Source organism: Homo sapiens, chromosome 1 (assembly GCF_000001405.40).
Source record: "Homo sapiens chromosome 1, GRCh38.p14 Primary Assembly".
NCBI lineage: Eukaryota > Metazoa > Chordata > Mammalia > Primates > Hominidae > Homo > Homo sapiens.
In genome coordinates, this window is record NC_000001.11 from 148,793,765 (window position 1) to 148,816,107 (window position 22,343).

The 22,343-nt window shown below is 38.7% G+C and overlaps 1 protein-coding gene across 15 annotated transcripts in view, besides 2 other annotated features; it reads left to right on the forward strand.

Moving 5' to 3' along the window:
* Window positions 4,775-5,276: an enhancer, noted in NCBI's record as "NANOG hESC enhancer chr1:145085325-145085826 (GRCh37/hg19 assembly coordinates)". NCBI's record gives its function as "activates a minimal SCP1, AML or CMV promoter by ChIP-STARR-seq in naive H9 embryonic stem cells {active_cell/tissue: H9 hESC(naive)}" and the evidence as "EXISTENCE:reporter gene assay evidence [ECO:0000049][PMID:30033119]".
* Window positions 14,670-22,343, forward strand: part of PDE4DIP (phosphodiesterase 4D interacting protein) — a 224,583-nt gene continuing 216,909 nt past the window's right edge. For 14 of the 15 annotated variants that reach the window (NM_001377392.2, NM_001350521.4, NM_001395298.1 and 11 more), the window contains exon 1: window positions 14,670-14,973. In NM_001377392.2, the coding sequence (NP_001364321.1) occupies window positions 14,741-14,973 (233 nt within the window). In that variant the 5' untranslated portion in view covers window positions 14,670-14,740. Of the gene's footprint in view, window positions 15,145-22,343 lie in introns of all 15 variants that reach the window. The other variant, NM_001395319.1, reaches the window with a different exon arrangement.
* Window positions 14,809-15,446: an enhancer, noted in NCBI's record as "H3K27ac-H3K4me1 hESC enhancer chr1:145075157-145075794 (GRCh37/hg19 assembly coordinates)". NCBI's record gives its function as "activates a minimal SCP1, AML or CMV promoter by ChIP-STARR-seq in naive H9 embryonic stem cells {active_cell/tissue: H9 hESC(naive)}" and the evidence as "EXISTENCE:reporter gene assay evidence [ECO:0000049][PMID:30033119]".

Genomic DNA, 22,343 nt, shown 5'->3' on the forward strand with positions numbered 1-22,343 from the left:
GAGTTGATGGTTGGCTATTTTTATGATTATTTCTTGATTATATGCCAAATAAGTGGTGGATTATTCATGAGTTTTCTGGGAAAGAGGCAGGGATTTCCCTCTTTTAGACCGTATAGGGTAACTTCCTGACATTGCCATGGCATTTGTAAACTGTCATGGTGCTGGTGGGAGTGTCTTTTAGCATGCTGATGCATTGTAATTAGCATACAGTGAGCAGTGAGGACAGCCAGAGGTCATATTCATCGCCATATTGGTTTTGGTGGGTTTTGGCCAGCTTCTTTACCACATCCTGTTTTATCATCAGGGTCTTTATGACCTTTATCTTGTGATACCAGTCCTGCCAACCTCTCATCTCATCCTGTGACTGAGAATGCCTAACCTCCTAGGAATGCAGCCCCATAGATCTCAGCCTCATTTTACCCAGCCCGTATTCAAGATGGAGTCATTCTGATTTGAATGCCTCTGACAGTTACATTCTAGCTGGCTCTGTCTCTCTTCCATTATCCCCAACCCACCTCCACCCGCATTGCATTCCCACCTCTCAATCTGCAACAATAAAAGCTTTGGATGGTGACTTTTTTAACTCTGAATATACAACGAGATTGTCCTTCAGACCGGCAGCTTTATTATCTTTCTGTGGAGTCTAAATGGATTTGTTTTTTCCTAGCGGCCATTATAGTTTCCTCATCTTACCTGCTGTCTCAACAGCTTTGCTGTAGCTTGGCTTCCTCCTCTAATAGTCCTCCAGCTCCTGCTCCTTTTATTGGACCATCTCTCCTCTACTCATAGTGGTGGTTCAGTGTTTCAGCAATTAGTGAAAATTTCCGTCTCAGACTGACTTTTCTTTACAATCTTAAGGATCTTTCAGTTTTCATTATTAATATTAGTAGTATTTTATTTTATTTTCAATTTTTTATGATGGGGTCTCCCTGTCACCCAGGCTGGAGTACAGTGGCATAATCTTGGCCCACTGCAGCCTTGACTTCCTGGGCTCAAGTGATCCTCCCACCTCAGCCTCCCCAGTAGCTGGGACCACAGGCACACATCACCACATCCGGCTAATTTTTGTTTTTTTTTTTTTTTTTTTTTTTTGTAGAGATGAGGTCTCACCATGTTGCCCAGGCTGATCTTGAACTCCTGGGCTCAAGTGATCCACCTGCCTCAGCCTCCCAAAGTGCTGGGATTACAGGTGTGACCCACCATACCTGGCCAGATCTTTCAGTTATTACTAGTCTTTGCTATCGTTCCTGGGAAAAAAGTTTAGGCAAATTCATTCAGCTCTACCTGCCAAAGAATTAAATCTAATACGACATTAAAGGTGACAAAGTGGGTCATAATCTAACTTGCTGTTGTTGTTTGCTTGTGGTGAATTCTCTAGCTTCCAAAGATGTAATTTTTGTTAATCAGTCCCTCTTGGTTCTTCCCCTAATCCCTGGCCCATCCTCTTACTCCATCACTACCTGATATGAGACCTTTTTCTTTGTTTTTTATTAGGGAGCATGATCCTCTGGTTCTGGAAATCTGAAGTCAGGCCCCAAACTCTGTGTGCCATTTCTCTACGGAGGTCTACCTCCAAGCTCTCGGGCAGATAATAACCAAAATTTCAAAGTTCTAGGAGGAATTTCCTTTTTAAAAAATCTGCTATTTATGCAGACTGTCACTTCTTGAGAATATTACAATGAAAGCTTTGAGTTGAAGTTTTAGGAGCTCAAGACATAATCCTTTCTTCCTCTTTTAAGTTCAGATCAAATTGGGAAATAGAGAAGTCAAACAGAGAATTAATAATGCTACAGTACTTTTATTACTGATCAAACTAAGTGGAGAACTTGCATTTAGATCTGTGATGATGCAAAGGTCCTGCTAATATTTCACTCCAGAATTAGGCAGACTTCACTCCAGAAACAGCAGGCCTTTCTCAAATGGGCAGGCTGACTGGCTTCTTACCACATGGCATAGGGCAAACCAGAATGACCTACTCTGAGGCTGGCATCTTAAGTGTTCAGCTATCACCACAAGACTTCTCAGATTCTCAGTGAAGAAGGGAACAGGGTGCAGTCCAACACAAAGGAGGACCCACCTCCTACCAGAGAGCAGAAATGATCTTAGTACCTTTGTGTCCCTTGGCCAGCTCCAGTGGCGGTGGTGATCTCAGAGACTTCCAGCTGTTCTCTCTCTCCCAGCCTTTAGCTGGGAAAAGGGTTTGTCCCTGTAATACACTTTTTGTGGAGGACCTCACTTATGTGAATTTCATGTGACACAGTGCCTTTCTTATGAATTTCCTTATTCTGACTGTGTTTGTGTACTCCAGTTTATTGCAGTTGCCACACCAAAAGAAATACTAGATTTTTATATTACTTGTGGGATAGGATGTGCATTTTTATTGGTATTTATCATTTTATTTGCCACAAATGACAAAACCTTATCTAAAATTGCTACACTTGTGTTTGGATTTTGGACAGGTTTTGTGTGGCTGCTTAATTTCGTTCAATATGCTCTATGAATTGCTGCTGAGAAAACTTGAAAATACTGATACGAGATAAGCCTTAATTGAACTTCTAAAATACTTCAAGACTTTGGAAAATAGAAGTAATGGATGATGGGTGATGTATCAAAATTTGCATAATTTTTAAAGGACATTTTTTGAGCAGTGATGATCAAGTCTAGTCTGAACACAAGCTATCATTTACCACAAATTACACCAGAGGCATTTTGTTTTAAATTTGTCTTTGTTGTAACGTTGTAACTGTTGAAATTAGTCTCAGACAGAATTTTCTGGAGGTTTTGTTTTTTATGGAGGGATACTCGTGGGGACACAAACTTTTCCTTAAAACACATGGATCAAATCAGAAATGAAAGAGGGGACATTATTACCAACCTGTGGAATACAAAATATTATAGAGGAATATTATGAGAAGTTATATGCCAGGAAATTAGATAAACTAGATGAAATGAACAAATTTCAAGAAAGAAACAAGCTACCCAAACTGATTCAGGAAGCAATAGAAAATCTGAATACCCTATAACAAGTAAAGCAATTCAATTAGTAGTAATAATTTTTTTTAATGTTCCACAAAGAGGAGCCCAGGTTCAGATAGCTTAATCTGTGACTTCTGCCGAATATGTTTATAGGACACAGACTCTTCACCCCCTGAAAAAAAGGAGAAGAAGAACACTTCCCATCTCATTCTATGAGGCCAGTATTACCCTGGCACCAAAACTAAGACTTCAAGAAAGGAAAATGACAGGCCAGTATACCTTTATAAATATAGATGTAAAAGTTCTCAACAAACTTTATTTGGCAACATATGAAAAAGATTATACATCATGACAAAGTGGCATTTATCCTAGGAATGCAAGGTTGATTCAACATATGAAACAATAAATGTAATGCACCATATTACAAAGGACAAAGGACAAACTCCATATGATCATCTCAATAAATGCAGAAAAAGCATTTGAGAAAATCTAGCATCTTATCTTGTTAAAAAACAATGAACAAACTAGGAAAGAAGAGAACTTCTTCAACCTGATAAAGGGTATCTATGAAAAACCCACAGCTAACCCCATACTTAAAGGGGAAAGACTTGAAAACATTTCCTGTAAGATGAGGAATAAAACAAGTATGTCCGCTCTCACCACTTCTAGTCAACATAGTACCTGATGTTCTAATGAGGGCAATTAGGCAAGAAAAAGAAATAAAAGCACCCCAGCTGGAAAGGAATAAGTAACACTATTTCTATTTGTAGATGACTTTATCTTGTATATAGAAAATTCTAAGGAATCCACACAAAAATTTAAGAATTAATAAATGAATTCACCAAATTGTAGGGTACAAGATCAATATACAAAAAAATTTGCAGTTCTATGCACCAGAAATGAACAATCCAAAAATGAAACTGAGAGCACAATTCCATTTACAAGGCATCAAAATAAAGCTGCACATCTACACCATCTGATCTTCAACAAAGCTGACAAAAACAAGCAATGGGGAAAGGACTCCCTATTCAATAAATTGTGCTGGGATAACTGGCTAGCCATATACAGAAGAATGAAACTAGACCCTTACCTTTCACTGTATACAAAAATTAACTCAAGATAATTAAAAATTTAAATGTAAGACCTCAAAATATAAAAATCTTAGAAGAAAACCTAGAAGATACTTTTACCAACATCAGCCTTGGCAAAAAGTTTTTGGATAAGTGCCCAAAAGCAATTGCAACAAAACCAAAAATTGACAAATGGGACCTAATTAAACTAAAGACCTTCTGCATAGCAAAATAAACAATCAACAGGGTAAATAGATAACCTACCGGATGGGAGAAAATATTCACTAACTATGCATCCAACAAAGATCTAATACCTAGAATTTATAAGGAACTTCAGTCAATAAGCAAAAACAAATAATCCCCTTAAAAATGGTCAAGGGATATGAACAGACACTTTTTTTAAAGAAGACATATAAGTGACCAACCAACATATGAAAAAATGCTCCACAACACTAATTATCAGAGAAATACAAATCAAAACTACAATGAGATATTACCCCACACCAGTTAGAATGGCTATTATTAAAAAGTCAAAAATGGCTATCATTAAAAAGTCAAAAAACAACAGATGCTGATGTGGCTGCAGGGAATAGGGAACACTTACACACTGTTTTTCGGAATGTAAATTTGTTCAGCCGCTGTGAAAAGTAGTTTGGAGATTTCTCAAATAACTTAAAGCGACCATTTGATGCAGCAATCCCATGATTGGGTACATATCCAGAGGACAATAAATCATTATACCAAAAGACACATGCATTTATATGTTCATCACTGCACAATTTACAATAGCAAATACATGGAATCAACCTAGGTGCACATCAAGGGTGAATTGGATAAAGAAAATGTGGTACATATACACTGTAGAATACTATACAGCCATAAAAAGTGAAATAATGTCCTTTACAGCAACATGGATAGAGTTGGAGGCCAAAATCCTTAGCAAATTAATGCAGAAAAAGACAACCAAATACCACATGTTCTCATTTATAAGTGGGAGCTAACCACTGAGCACACATGAACATAAACATAGGAACAATAGACACTGTGGACTACTAGAGAGGGGACCGAGGGAGGGAACATGGGTAGAAAAACCTCCATGGATATGTAACAAAGCTGTACATGTACCCTCTGTATCTAAAAGTTGAAATTTAAAATGAGTAAATAAATGAAATGTTTAGGAATAAATCTAACAAAAAAAGTGTACACTAAAAACCACAAAATGTTGTTGAAGGAAATATTAAAAGACCTAAATAAATGGAAAGGAATTCCATGTTCATGTTCCACATTCATGGATTGGAAGACTTAACAGAGTTAAGATGGCAGTAATCCCAAATTGATCTATAGATTTGTTGCAATCTCTATCAAAATCCCAGCAGGATCTCTCTCTCTCTCTCTTTTTTTTTTTTTTTTTTTTGTGTGTGGCAGAAATTGACAAGCTGCTCTTAAAATTCAGGTAGAAAAGCAAAGGACCCAGAATAATTAAAACCATCTTTAAAAGAAGGAAAAAGGTGTGAGAAGGACTCATACTTCTGATTTCAAAACTTAATAACAAGCAACATAATTAAGACAGTGTGGTATTGAAATCAGAATAGACATACAGGTCAATGGAATATAATTGAGAGTCCCAAAAATAAACACATGCATATATGGTCTAATTAAAAAAAAATAAGGAAAGGAGAGTATTTTCAACAAATGATGTGTGACAACTGGATATTCACATGCAAAATGATGATGGGCTCTTACATCACACTATATATAAAAATTATCTCAAAATGGATTGTCAACCTATGAGCTAAAACTATATATCTCTTTGAATGAAACACAGGAATAAATCTTTGTGACCTTTGATCCAGCATGGTTTCCTAGCTATGACACCAAAAGTACAAGCTGCAAAAGAAAAAAATAGATAAAAAGACTTCACCAAAATTTAAAACTTATTTTCTTCAAAAAGCACAAGAAAGTGAGAGGACAACCCTCAAAGTGGGACAAAATACTTGCAAATCATATCAGGTAAAGGAATTGCATCCAGAACACACACACACACACACACACACACACACACACACACACACACACCCCTTACAACTCAGTAATAAAATAAGAACAAACAACCCAATTGAAAAATAGGCAACAAATTTGAAAAAATGTTTCTCCAATGAAGATATACAAATAAATACTAAATACAAGACAAGATGCTCAACATTATTAGCTAGGGAAATACAAACCAAAACCACAGTGAAATGTCACTTCACACCCACTAGGATGGCTATAATAAAGAAGACACATACTAACAAATGGTTAGAATGTGGAAAAACATTGAGTTACTGGTGGGAATGTAAACATTATGAGGCCATTTGTAAAAACACTTTGGCAGTTTAAAAAAAGTTAAACAGAGTTGCCATATAACCCAGCAACTCCACTCGTAGGTATGTACCCAAAGTAATTGAAAACATATGTCCAAAGAAAAACATGTACATGAGCGTTCACAGCAGCATTATTCACTATAGCAAAAAACAAACAAACAAAAACCACCTAAGTGTCTATCAACTGACAAATAGGTACATTAAATGTGATATTTCCTTACAATATAATATATTTTCAGCAATAAAAAAGTGAGTGAAATATTGGCATTCGCTGTAAAGTGGATGGACCTCAAAACACCATACTAACTGAAAGAAGCCAGACATAATGTGCTACATGTTAGATGATTCCATCTATATGAAGTGTCCAGAATAGGTAAATTTATAAATATAAAAAGATTAGTGGTTGCCAGGGGCTGGGGAGAGGAACAGCCGGTGGTAGAAATGGAAAGGGTAAGTGAGTATGGAGTTTGTTTTGAGGGTGATAAAAATGTTCTGAAATGACACAGTGATAATGATTGCACAATTCTGTGACTATACTAAAAAAACAGATGAAAGAATAAAAAACAAGCTAAATACATGGAGAACTGGCTGGGGACGGTGACTCACACCTGTAATCCCAGCACTTTGGGTGGCCAAGGCAGGCGGATCACTTGAGGTCAGGAGTTTGAGACCAGCCCGGCCAACATGGTGAAACCCTGTCTCTACTAAAAATACAAAAATTAGCTGGGGGTGGTGGCGGGTGCCTGTAATCCAAGCTACTCAGGAAGCTGAGGCACGAGAATCGCTTGAACCCAGGAGGTGGAGGTTTGCAGTGGGCCAAGATGGTGCCACTTCACTCCAACCTGGGTAACAGAGTCAGACCCTGTCTCAAAATAAACAAATAAATAAACAAAATAAATGGAGAGCTCTTCCATATTCATGGATAAGAAGACAGTATTGTCAAGATGTCGATTCTTCCCAACTTGACCCATATATTCAATGCAATTCTAATAAAAATCCCAGCAAATTATTTTGTGGATTTTTATAAACTGATTCTAAAGTTTATATGCAGAAGCAAATACTCAGAATAGCCAACACAATATTGAAGTAGAAGAACAAAGTTGGAGGACACTATGTGAGTAAACAAGACAGTGTGACATTGGCAAAATAATAGAAATATAGATCAATGGAACAGAGTAGAGAGTGCAGAAAGAGACCCACATAAATATAGCCAAAAGACATTTTGCAAAAGAAAATATACAAATGACAAATAAGCATATGAAAAAATACTCAACATCATACATCATTGGGGAATTGCAAATAAAAACGATAATAATGTACTACCACATACCTATTAGAAAGGCCAACACCAACACCAAATGCTGGCAAGAATGCAGAGCAGTCGAAATTCTTATTCATTATTGGTGGGGAATGCAAAAATGGTAGCCACACTGGAAGACGAGTATTTCTTACAAACTAAACATACTCTTACTTTACCATCCAGCAACTGGGGCTTCCTGGTATTTCCCCAGAGTTGAAATTTTACATTCACACAAAACCCTGCACATGAATGTTTATGGCAGCTTTTTTCATGATGACCAAAATTTGGAAGCAACCAAAATGTCTTTTAGCAGGTAAATGGAAAAACAAACTGTGACACATCTACACAATGGAATATTATAAAGTGCTAATAAGAAATGAGCTATCAAGCCATGCAAAGACATGGAGGTACCTTAAATGCATATTACTAAGTGAAAGAAGCCCATCTGAAAAGGTTGCATATGGTATCATTCTGACTATATGACACTATGGAATTGGCAAAACAGTGGAAACAGTAAAAGGATCAGTGGTTGTCAGGGGTTGGAAAGAGGGAGGGATGAACATGTGGCACATGGAGGATTTACATGGCCATGAAACTACTCTATTTGTTACTATAACTGTGGATACATACCATTTTATATTTGTCAAAATCCATAGAATGTACAACACCAAGAGTGAACCTGAATGTAAACTATGGACCTTGGATGATAATGTGTGTCAATGTAGGTTCATTGATTGTATAAATGTACACTCTGGATTTTGATGCGGGGGAGGCTGTTTGTGTCTCGGGGGCAAGATGTATGTATGAAACCTCTATCATCTGTTCAATTTTGTCCTGAACCTAAAACTGCTTTAAAAAAATAAAGTCTACTTTTTAAAATGTCAATTTCAAAGTCTTAGAGCTAACCAAACAAAATGATATTATCAGAACCCAGTGCAATATTTGGAACAATTCAGATTCATAGTTGCTTCCAAACTCATAGCAGAAACTCAAGTAGACAAAGAAGAGGGAACCTTTTAGTGTTAGCCTATCTGGTTTGACAAACATTATATGCCAATTATCTGAGCCTGTGACCTATAACCGTAAAGTCAATTGAGATAAATGTTTACTGTGAAGAGGTTAATCATACTGTGTTTAATATGTGGCAAATGGGGGTTGGAAATCACTTAATAACAGGTCTCCTCTCTCAGAGAGCGACACTTGAAATCTTGGTACTTCATTACTAAATTTAGAAAGTTACAGGTTGGCAGGTTCAGTTTCCAGTTACTATGGTTTAGTGAAATTATTGGTTTTGATTTCCCACCAGGATAATCAAAATCCATTAATTTCCATTTATCTTTTGAATCCCTCTTTTTTTTCTGGCACTAAAGGGCTGATTTGAGTGTGGGTTCTGTTTATTATATAATTTTCACACTGTCTTCTTTTTATTTATTTATTTATTTTATTTTATTTTTTTAGACGGAATCTCGCTCTGTCACCCAGGCTGGAGTGCAGTGGCGAGATCTCAGCTCACTGCAACCTACACCTCCCAGGTTCACTCCATTCTCCTGCCTCAGCCTCCCGAGTAGCTAGGACTACAGGCGCCCGCCACCACGCCCAGCTAATTTTTTGTATTTTTAGTAGAGACGGGGTTTCACTGTGTTAGCCAGGATGGTCTCGATCTCCTGACCTCGTGATCCGCCCGCCTCGGCCTCCCAATGTGCTGGGATTACAGGCGTGAGCCACCGCGCCCAGCAATTTTCACACTCTTTTCTATGTGGACATTTCAAGCCCATACCACCGTGACTCATGCCACTGTCTAGTGCTGTAGAACTGCTTAGACCTATCAAACCTGCCTCTCAATCAAGAGTTCTTCCTTAGTTTCAACTTAAGAATTGTCTTCAGCAAATATCTAAATTGAAACTGCTTCTAATATTTCTGAGCGATAATGGTCTTTTGTTCTTCTTGGGGTTGGCTGAACTTCTGGCATCTGAGAGGTCGATGCCTTTTATCAGTTTTAGAAAATTCTTGAGCTTTGTCTCCTGAAATACTGCTCCTCTCTTTCCTCTCTCTTTCAGGGACTGCAATTAATCACTTATTAGACATTTTTACTGTGTTTTTGAGGTCTGTTATGTTCTTTTCCTTTTTCTCTGTCCTTCAGTTTGGATATTTTCTACAGACCTGTCTTCCAGTTCATGAATCCTGACTTCTGCTGTACTCAGACTGTTGTTAAGCACACCCAAAGGGTTCTTATTTCCAGTTATTGTAATTTTTTTTTTTTTTGAGACAGAGTCTCTGTCTGTTGCCCATGCTGGAATGCAGTGGTGTGATCTTGGCTCACTGCAACATCTGCCTCCCAGATTTAAGCAATTATCCTGCTTCAGCTTCCTGAGTAGCTGGGATTACAGGTGCATGCCACCACGCCCAGCTAATTTTTGTATTTTTAGTAGAGACGGGGATTTCACCATGTTGGTCAGGCTGGTCTCGAACTCCTGAGCTCATGATCCACCTGCCTCAGTCTCCCAAAGTGCTGGGAATACAGGCGTGAGCCACCGTGTCCGGCCTGTAATTTTTAGTTTTAGAATATTTGTCCAATAATTGTTTTTACAGATTCCAATTCTATACTGAAGTAAATTACCCATCTTTCATCTTTGTCCACCTTTTCTTCTATTTTCTTAAAACTATTAATTATAGTTATTTAAAGTCCTGGCCAATTCTAATATCTAGTTCTGTTTCTATTAACGTTTTTCTCTTAGTGTTTAGTCATTTGGATTTGATCTTTTGCATGGCTCATAATTATTTTGTATTGGATCCCAGATATTGTATAAGACAAAATTGTAGACTCTGGATAATGTTACCTACCTCCATAGAGTTTCTACTTTCTACTCCTGGAAAGTAGAAAGAATAGTGGCAGATAACTTTGATCCTGAAAAGGCTTGGTTTCAAGCTTTGTTAGATCTATTTTATTTCAGTATTATATTGCTCTTACTCCAAGGATGTGCTGAGATCTCAACTGAAAACCCTGGGTATCTAGGTACCTTATCAAGGCTTGAAGTCCAACTTCTGTTGGATGCTGAAATCTTCACTTACCTCATTAGACCCTAAACTGCTGTTTTCTGATTTTTTTTTTTTTTTTGGCATCTTTCTTTGTGCATGCTGAGTGTAGGAACTTAGATCACTATCATGATGGCAATTTGCATAGATTGTTGAGCTCCTCTGCAATTCTCCCCTCTTGGAGTTTGCCCTCAATCAGAGGCACTTTGGTAGCCCTCAACTTTGGCCTTTGATATGATTTGGCTCTGTGTTCCCACCCAAATCTCATGCTGTATTGTAATTCCCACTGCTGGGGGAGAGACCTGGTATTAGGTGATTGGATCATGGGGGCAGATTTCCCCCAGGCTGTTCTCATGATAGTGAGAGTGAGTTCTCATGAGACCTGATGGTTTCAAAGTGTGTGGCACTTCCCGCCTCACTCTCTTTTTCCTGCTCCACCATGGTAAAACGTGCTTGCTTCCCCTTCACCTTCCACCATGCTTGTAAGTTTCCTGAGGCCTCCCAGTCATTCTTCCTGTTAAACCTGAAGAACTGTGAGTCAATTAAATCTCTTTTCTTCATAAATTATCCAATCTCAGGTAGTTCTTTCTGGCAGTGTGAGAATAGACTAATACAGCCTCTTATTCTTCAGCCCAGAAAAACTGCTGTATTTTTTTTTTTTTGGCTTTTATTGTCTTGCACTTAGTTTTGAGCATTCCCTCAAGAGAAATATTCCAGGGTAAACACTGAGTTCACCTCATGTGCCTTCTCTCCAGGATCATAGCTTTAAGTTCCGCCTGGTTTAGTTACTCTTCAATGCCTCCAAAGAATTATAGATATAGATATATAGATACTCCTAGGCTTATGATGGGGTTATATCCCAATAAACCTAAGTTGAAAATATTGTAAGTCAAAAATGCACTTAATACACCTAACCTACCAAACATCATAGCTTAACTTACCTTACCTTAAATGTGCTCAGAACACTTATGTTAGCCTACAGTTGGGCAAAATTATCTAATGCAAAGCCTATTTTACAATAAAGTGTTGATTATGTAATTTGTTGAATACTGTAGTGAAAATGAAAAATAGAGTGGTTGTATGGGTATTCAAAGTACAGTTTCTACTGAATGTTTATCACTTTCACACCATCATAAAGGCAAAAAAATTTAAGTCAAACTATTGTAAGTTGGGGACCATCCGTATATGTATAAAGTCATGTATTACTTAATGACAGGGATACATTCTGAGTAATGCATCATCAGACAATTTTACTGTTGTATGAACATTCAGAATATATTTACACAAACCTAGATGGTATAGCCTACTACACACCCAGCCTATTGCTCCTTGGCTGGAAACCTGTACAGCATGGTACTGTACTAAATATTGTGGGCAATTTTAACCTAATGGTAGGTATTTGTACATCTAAACTTGGAAAATGTATAGCAAGTCATATGCAACTGCATATGACCACCAGTTGCATATGCAGTCTGTCTTTGATCAAAACTTGGTTATGCATTGCATGACTATATATATATATACACACACACATATAAATATATACAAATATGTAAATATTTATGCATATTTTATCCCACTTTCCCCCTGAAGTGGGAGGTTTAGTTTGATATATACTACTACATCTTGGCTGGAGTTGGAGGTCTCAGTACTTCATAGCAGTAATGAATGCTGTGGGTTTGCAGTAACTTCACTGAACTGTTTATCTGCCACAACTACAAAAGATGGCTTATTCTCTTTAAGTTATGGAGCCCTATTCCTTTTAATTTGTGTGTTAGATAAAATCTACCACGTGTCTATGGGCAAAACCAAAGTCTGAATCTCTAAAATCTAAGGCCATAATCAAAACTAGGTAATTTATCAATCTAGAGTCATATAATGGGGATTCCTCTTCAGCCTGCATTTGGATAAACCGCATGAACCCAAGAGTTTAGCCCTACCACTCAAGGCCATTGTTTTTAGTTGTGCAGGCTTCAGTGGGTAAGGTGCTATTTATGTAGGTTAAATGGCGGTTGAGTGCTCTGCAATGTGGTGGCCTTGATACCACAGGTTTTTTTTTTTTTTTTTTCTTAGATCTGAATTCGTTTGTTGCGGGGAGAAAAACTAGGGGCAACTGATCTGGCATTGCCTACCTATGCCTGACATGAAATTCGCCAGGACCTCTGGGAGAATACCTCTAGTTAAGCAATAGGATTAGAAGCCTGATTGCAGAAAATTAGGAGGTAAAGAATGATTGGGAAGTCAGAAAGTGTGGACATCAAATGAACACAATATATTAAACAAATTGGATGTGAAGGGAAGTGAGAGATATGGTGATAGGTAGAGAGGGAAGGACTTTGTTTTAAGAGTGAGGAGAGTTAAGCATGTTTGTGGGCTGGGGATGAAGCTAATGGAAAAGGAGAGGAAGAAGATACAAAACAATAAGAGATAATTAAGAATTTTCTGGTAGAGGTTGTTAGACAAAGAGCCCAGATAAGACAGATTGGACAAAGATAAGGAGAGGTAAAGATGAAGCTTAAGTTAGGAGGCTTAAAAGAAAGAATGGGCCAGGTGAGTGGCTCACGCCTGTAATCCTAGCAATTTGGGAGGCTGAGACGGGAGGATCACTTGAGGTCAGCAGTTCGAGACCAGCCTGGCCAACATGGCGAAACCCCATCTCTACTAAAAATACAAAAATTAGCCAGGCGTGGTGGCAGGTGCCTGTAATCCGAGCTGCTCAGGAGATTGAGGCAGGAGAATCGCTTGAACCCAGGAGGCAGAGCTTGCAGTAGGCCAAGATCGTGCCACTGCACTCCAGCCTGCTGGGTGATAGAGTGAGAATCCGTCTCAAAAAAAAAAATCTATCTATCTATCTATCTATCTATCTATCTATCTATCTATCTATAGAGAGAGAGAGAGAGGGAGAGAGTAAAAAAGTAGAATTAATGACTGGATGAGATGGGTAAAAGAGAAATAGGTCCCTGACAAATTCTAGGTTTGGGGATTGAGCAGCTGGGTAGATAGGGCTGGGGTTAAAACACAGAACTGAGCAACAGATTTGGAAGGATGAGCTGAGATGAATTCAGCTTTGTCTGCATTCAGTCAGTCAACAATAATAGCTGTTGCCTATGAACCTTGAGATCCACAGTGCCCAACTACAAAGACAAACCTTGCTCCCCCTCCCCTGCTGAACTTATGCTATATGCAATAGTGTTGCAGAAACATTTTGCTTTGCTGGATACAAAAGCAAACTAGTCTCTGTTTTCAAGGACATATGTAGGATATAAGAACTGGATTTTCAGAATGAATATTTATGGGATAATTTATTTAACTGACCAACTTTAAAAAAAGGTTAAAACACTTTCTTGGTTTATGGTGGATACCAAGCTATATATGCTTTATTATGAGTTCATGGAAAACTGCAATCAGTCTCAACTGAAAGGAAAATGTAGGTTGTTTGGGAGAAAGTTTTTACAATTGAAAAACTCAAGGGAAAATTGAAAGGAAAAGATTTTAGGAAAGAGAAAGAAACAGGGAGAGGAAGAAAAGAGGCTAGCCAACAACCTGCAGTAGTGATTCTGAGGAACTAATAGGAGACGAAAAACTGGATAAATTATAAAAGGATGACTGATACGGGGGCACGGGGAGGAGGATGAAACCGGGGAAAATATTGAGAGAGACAGAAAGAAAAGGAGAAACTTATCTGAGGTTGGAAATAAAGAGAAGGTGACATTGGAGCGGATAGAAAGGAAGAAACGGCGTGGGATCTGGGAATGAGGCAGTGGGTGGAGAGAGAATGGGGAGACGACAGAGGATGAAGGGCAGCTGAGTGTGTCTGCGGGAGAAGGACCAAAGCAATCTGGGCGGAGCAGGTGGCAGAGGCAGCCGCGGAGGAGGCCCAGGGAACTGACGGGGATGCTCAGCCAGGCCCAGAGGATGCGCCCTGGCAGTCCCGGAAAACACCAGGAAAACAAGCAGGAACCGTAGCTAGGACTGGGGTGGCCAGGCCCAGGAAATCCATGAAGGGCACAGACAGCGGGTCCTGCTGCCGCCGCCGATGCGACTTTGGCTGCTGCTGTCGCGCGTCCCGCCGGGCTCACTACACGCCTTACCGGTCCGGGGACGCGACGCGAACCCCTCAGTCCCCACGGCAGACCCCGAGCCGGGAAAGACGGCGCCCGGAGCCAGCCGGGAGCTGGGCAGCAGCGGCCGAGGAGGAAGAAGCAGCTGCGGCGGCCACACCCTGGATGAGGTGAGAGCATGGCCAGCTCCTGCCTCTGGAGCCCGGGAGGCTGAGGAACGCGATGGGGGTGGCAACGCACGGTGCGCTGGGCAGGAGAACCGCGCGGAGGGCTGGGGCCCCGGACTGAAGATCCCGACGCCTGAGAGGGGTTGGCGCTGAGTGACTACTGCTTGGAGAAGGGTAGGGAGGTAATGGGGCCCGTGGTGGAGGCAGGAGGAGGGACAGTGTTGAGTTGCCCAGAAATAAAGGTGTGCCCCTGGAAGGGTTAAAGCATAGGAAGCTCTATCTCGAGGTCTTTGAGACACAGACATTTGCTGTGTTGACGGAGGTGAGATTGCAGGCTGTGTCTGTTGGGTTGAGCCAAAGGAGAGATGAACACATGACTCAGAAGGCTATACCAGGATGGAAACATCAGAGATGGGCATGAAAGTTGAAGGATCGGGAAGTGCACCCGGACGAAAGCACACACTGCCATCTCTTATAGCTCTTCTTTTCAGGGTTATTTCTCTTAGATACAGATCGCAGGGTGGGGTGGGTGGTGATTCCCTCTTCCTGGGCTATCTCTTTTTCCCCTGCAGAGCTGGAGCCCTGCCTGATGGCTGGATGGAGGCCATGCAGGACAAGTTCCTTCTAAAATCAATCCTTTGCTTTGGCCTGGAAGACCGAACATATTAGGCTCAATTTTCTTCGTGTAGCAGCAGTAACATAAAAATCTGTCATACATACGATTTTTGGGAGAAGAGATAGATTGTGCTGCAGGCTTTTTAGAAATAAACATGTCCGCATCACAGCATTTTTAGCTTTTTATCTCATGGAAGGTAGTACTCATAAATCAAACTACCAGGCCTAGTGATTCCAGCCTCTGAGCTAACGGGTCTGTAAAAAGTTACTTCATTTCTCTAGGCCTCAGTTTCCCATGCATAAAATTGGAATTTGGATTAAAACAGTGCTAATTATAAAACTAAATGTTCATTGGATCTGTATTCTATGTTCAGGATAGCTATATTTGTGAACTATGAAATTTAGCCTATTCACTGACAATTTTATTTTTTCATAACACTATCCACTGTTTATGTCAGAAAACAGACTCACATTCAGTTAATAGAGCTTAAATAAATCACATGTCTTCTAAGGAACCCATAATAAATTACTGCTCCTAAGAAAGAATTAAGCAAAAAGTATTCATTGTTTGATTTTTTTATAAAGTAAAATTTTTATTGCCTTATACAAATTACTTTTATAGACATAATTACTTTTTTAAAAAAGCATATCTATGGGATGTTAATTATTTTATAAAATACTTTGAAATTTTATTTAAAGCTTAGAACAAAAAAATTAATCTGAATGTGTATTTATAATTCCAAGGCTCCTTAATCACCTTACGCACACGGGGTGAATTCTTCTTATCTGGAAAGCAGCATTAATCCTGCAGAATTTAAAATGAATTATGACTCCTTATCACAAGAGTATGATTTTTCTCCCTGTCTTTGGTTAAAAAAAAGTTTATAGGGTTAGAATTTGATCCTCTAAATTGTGGTTTAATTGTGAAAGTAGATAGCAAACATTCATGGTTTCCTTAATAGTTACTCATCTGACAAACTACACCTATATTCATCTTCGTTGATGTAATGATAAGTCTTGAAATGTTTTTAAAAAATTTCACAATTCCCAAATGAAACACTTACAGCAACTTGACTGAGGTTAGTGCTACTTTGCCCTTTATTTAAAAATCAATTCCCCAGTTTAGCGTACTTTAAAAAATGTAACAACTTTAGCTATAGTGTTAGAGGTTTAATGAATGTTAGCGTATTAGAGGTTATACTTGGGGAGTGGTGTTTTTGGTACGATTTTCTAACTCTCAATCAACTAAAAAATGTAAAAAAGCAGCCTTGCACGTTATCCAAATTCAGTTCAGTTCAGTGTTACTTATTGAGCAATGATGGTGGAGGCCAGCACAAACTGGATACAAAACTACCCTCAGGTAACTCAGAATCTGTAGTTCTATAATGTGCTTCAGTAACTGGAGTATGGAGTAAGTGCTGTAACAGAAAGATGAACTGTAGACCTCTCTCTCTCTCTCTCTCTCTCTCTCTCTCCCTCTCTCTCTCTCTCTCTCTATTTCTCCAAGGAAAGCTGACTTCCCTAACAGGCCATAGAAAGTGGCATTATCTTGGAAAATATGTTGAAATCTGGTCTTTAACTTGTTAAGTCTGTTTCTTTTCTTTTTCTTTCTTTCTTTTTTTTTTTTTTTCAGAGATGGAGTCTCACTGTGTTGCCTAGGTTGGAGTGAAGTGGTGCAATCATAGCTCCCTGCAGTCTCCAACTCCTGGGCTCAAGGGATCCTCTTGCCTTGGCCTCCCAAGTAGCTGAGATCACAGTTGTGTACCACCATTTCCGGCTACTTTTAAAAAATTATTTTGTGTAGAGATGGAGTCTTGCTATGTTGCCTAGGCTGGTCTCAAACTCCTGGCTTCAAGCAATCCTACCACCCCACCCTCCCAAAGTGCTGAGACTATAGGCATGAGCCACTGCACCCAGCCAAGTCTGTTTCTTAAACTGATAAATCACAGGACTACTATATAAACCCAGAATAACAAATTACTAATTTATAATGAGAATTTTAACATCTTAGGGAACTAGACTCTCTTTTATGATCCCAGCAAAATATCTCTTGGTATATGTGCCACATTTGAGAGCCAAATTACAGCCAAAAGGTTGTTTTTGAAACTTGAATCTAGAGCAAGAGGAATTAATTAGTGGATTCTAAATTTCAAATAATTTGATAGCTTCAGAGCATCAAGGTGTACACATAGGTTCTTTTTTCCTGGACAGTAAGTGTCCACTGATGATTGTCCTCCCTTCTTAGGTACATCTCTTTTTCTATCTCTGATATGCTAATATTTTCAGTCAGATTATAATCTGGTTTGGGGATCCTTGTGACTGTTTCAAGTGTCTACATTTATTCTCTAAATCAGTTTATCTTAATTGTAAAGTTTAAATTCTAAGTGGCAAGCTTATTTTCTTTAAGAAAAAATAATGATGGGGTAGGGAGGTGGGGCTGGGGTACCATATTACAGCCCCTACATGCTGGCAATATAAACCAGGTGGTTAATGGCACCTCTCTATGGTGCTAAAAGGCAGATGAGGCCGGTCACGGTGGCTCATGCCTGTTAATCCCAGCAGTTTGGGAGGCCAAGGCCGGTGGATCACTTGAGGTCGGGAGTTTGAGATCAGTCTGGTCGACATTGTAAAACTCCATCACTAATGAAAATACAAAGAATTAGCTGGGTGTGGTGGTGCGCCTGTCATCCCAGCTACTCAGAAGGCTGAGGAAGGAGGATCACTTGAACCAGGGAGGCGGAGGTTGCAGTGAGCCGAGATTGCACCACTGCACTCCAACCTGGGTGGCAGAGTGAGACTCCATCTCAAAAAAGAAAAATTAAAAAATTTAAAAATTTAAAAAGGCAGATGATCAGAGACGGCTTTATACAGGAGGTGAATTTTTGTCTGGCTTGACAAGATAACAAAGCCAGGTTGAGTGGGAAGAAAATTTTGCCAAAAGAACACAAGCAGATTTATGACAGTGGGAAGATGCTTTATTGAAGTGAATCCCATGCTGTGATAGAAATTTTCTGTGAGGATTTAATTCAAACTCGATCCTTTTTCAAGTATATAACTATTTAAAAAGAGAAATTAAGTGAATTGTCAGCTGTTGGCCATCTGCCTCAATGTGTGCTTTTGAAGCCCAGCAGATTGCACATTCTGTGTAGGTGGATAGCTTGAAACCTGCAGACAACTGTCAGAGGACAATGACTTCAGAGAAGATTCAGTGAATTTCTAACATCAAACTTCAACTACTGTAATATGCTTGTCTAGCCATCTCTTTGTTGTTGCTGTTCTACAGCTTTATTGAGATATAACTGACATACAATAAACTGGGCAAATTTAAAGTGTGCAATTTGAAGTTTCAACGTATGTATATACCTGTGAAATCATCACCACAATCAAGATGACGAACTTATCCATGATCCCAAAAAGGTTCCTTCTGCCCTTTTTAAATTCCTCCTTCCCGCCCCTCTGCTTTTGTCATTATATATTACTTTGCATTTCCTAGAATTTCATATAAATGGAATCATACAGTATCTACTCTTTGTTGTTGTCTGGCTTCTTTCACTCAGCATAATTATTTTGAAACTTATCTATGCTGTTGTGGGTATCAGTAGCTCATTTCCTTTTGTTGCTGAGTAGTATTTCATTGTATGAATGTGCTACACGTTATTGATTCACCATTCGTTGAGTTGTTTCCAGTTTTATGGCTATTACAAATAAAGTTGCTATAATTATCTGTGCACATGTCTTTCATTTCTCTTGGGCACATTTCTCGGGGTATATAACACTAGGCATGCTTTTAAAGAAACTGCCAAATCGTTTTCCAAAAGGGTTGTACCTTTTACATTCCCACTAGCAATGTATGAAGGTTCTCATTTCTCCACATCCTTCTCAATACTTGTTACTGTACATCTTTTATATTATAGCCATTCTAGTGGGTGTGAAATCTTATTATGGTTTTTTGACTTAAATTTCCCTAATGATTAATGATATTGAGCTTTTTTTTCATGAGCTTGATTATTATCTACATATTTTTGGTAAAGTGTCTCTTGAAATATTTTGCCCATTTTCCATTGAGTTGTTTGGGTTTCACTGAGTTCATTGGGTTCATTTCATATTCTAAATGCAAGTTTTATTATATATGTTCTTTGCAAATATTTTCTCCCACTGTGCAGATTGTCTTTCCATTTTAGTAACAGTGTCTTTTGAAGACCAGACATTTTAAAATTTTGCTGTGGTAAATAAACATTATCAGTTTTTTCTTTTATGGTTCTGCTTTTAATGTCATATCTAAGAAATCATTACTTAATCCAGATTACAAAAATATTCTATTTTTTTCTAGAAGTTTTATAGTTTTGCATTTTTACATTTAGGCCTATGATCCATTTGAGTTAACTTTTGTATATTGTGATCAAGGTGTTTTTTTTTTTCTTTTTTATCTTTTTTTTTTTTTTGCATGTAGATGTACAGTTGTTCTAACACTGTTTGTTAAGAGCACTATCCTTTTTCCATTTAATTGCCTTAGCACCTTTGTTCAAATCAATTGACCACATATATAATCGTCTGTATCTGGGTTTCTATTGTGTTTGACTGATTTATTTATCTGCCTTTTTTTTTTCCTTTTTCTTTTTTTGAGATGGAGTCTAACTCTGTTGCCCAGGCTGGAGTGCAGTGGCACAATCTTGGCTCACGGCAACCTTCGCCTCCTGGGTTCAAGCAATTCTACTGCCTCAGCCTCCCTTATCCATCTTTAGACTAATACCAAACTGATTTGGTTACAGTAGCTTTATACGTTTTGAAATCACGTAGTCAAATTCTTGAGCTTTGCTCTTCTTGTTCAAAATTGTTTTCATTGTGTTAGGTTCTTTGAATTTCCATATACATTTCAGAATTCACTTGTAAATGTAGACAAAAAGCCAGTGGGGTATTTGATTGGGGTCACATTGAGTCTATAGATCAACTTATAGAGAATTGATATCTTAACAACATTGGGTCTTCTGATGCATGAACATGACATATTATTTCATTTATTTTGGTTAATGGTTCTCCGCTAAGGGCAATTGTGCATCACAAGGGACATTTGACAGTATCTAGACACAAACAACTAGAGCATCAGAGCCCCTTTGCTGTACCCACAGTCTTGTATTTACAGTCTATACTTCCATTCTTTCAGGAGGTTTGCTCCCAGAACTGGTGATATAAAGAAGGAAAGTAGCAGTATGAGCACTTTGAGGGCTAAGCAATGGGATAATATCTTTCTAAGGGAACAGTTAAATCAACTTCATTTGGTCTTCCATGGACATGAGTTTCAAGTGGCTTTCTGGCCTTTCTTCTGTTGGCCTCTTTGCTATTATGTGAAGACTTCATTTATACTCAATCTAATTCAGCTACCATGGGCCATATCACCAGTGCCCATTGTGTTCTATGCATCCTAATATTTTCATTAATCTGAAGGGGAGAGGGTTTTAACTTTGAAGGATACTCAGGAGGACTTTCTTATGAACTCAGATGGAAAGTGTCCTGAAATTTGTCCTTTTAAAAATATCTGTGCATTTTTTTGTGCTATGACATTCTTACATGTATCATTCTGTGATCAAATCTCCAGCTTACTATAAATGATACCTACATTCTAAAGAGCCAATTCTAGTTGTACCAGCATGGCCTTAGAGAAAAGTAAGGGAATACAATTTGTATTTATCTTCTATTTGGTCGGAGTTAAGTATTTAAAACAGTAAGGTAGATCTCAGATCCACCACCATTAAAAATAAATAAATAAATAAATAAATAAATAAATAAATAAAATAGTAAAGTAGAAAGAAGAGACAAAGATCCAAACCTTTCAAAATGAAAAATGAATTTTAAATATAAGGTTATATTTTATTACCTACTGCTGAGACCATCATTGCATAAATGAATAAATAGAACTAAATAGTCCAGTCACAGTGGCTCACGCCTGTAATCCCAGCACTTTTGGAGGCCGAGGCACGCAGATCACGAGGTCAGGAGACAGAGACCATCCTGGCCAACATGGTGAAACCCTGTCTCTGTTAAAAATACAAAAGTTAGCTGGGCGTGGTGGCATGCGCCTGTAATCCCAGCTACTCGGGAGGCTGAGGCAGGAGAATCGCTTGAACCAGGGAGGCAGAGGTTGCAATGAGCCAAGATCACACCACTGCACTCCAGCCTGGTGACACAGCAAGACTCTGTCTCAAAAAAAAAAAAAAAAAAAAGAACTAAATAAACTCTTCTTCCCCCACAAATTTACCAGTTTAGCCATTTTAAGTGTACAGGTCAGTAGTTGCATTAAGTACATTCACATTATTATGCAACAAGTACCACCATCCATCTCCAAAATTTTCTCTTTTTCCAAAACTGAAACTCTGTATCCATTAAACAGTAGCTACCCATTCTCCCTCCCCTACCTCCTGGTAACCACTATTCTACTTTCTGGCTCTATGAATTTGACTACTCTAGCCACCTTTTATACATGGGATCATATATTTGTTGTTTTGTCTCCAGCCTATTTCACTTGGCATAATCTCTTTTAGGGTCATCCGTGTTGTAGCATGTGTTGTAATTACGTACTTTTTTGTGTGTGAGATAGTCTTACTCTATCATTCAGGCTGGAGTGCACTGGCACAATCATGGTTCAATGCAGCTTTGACCTCCTGGGCTCAATCGATCCTCCCACATTGGCCTCCCAAATGGCTGGGATTACAAGCAATTTTTTTGATATTTTTGTAGAGATGGGGTCTCAGTTTGTTGCTCAG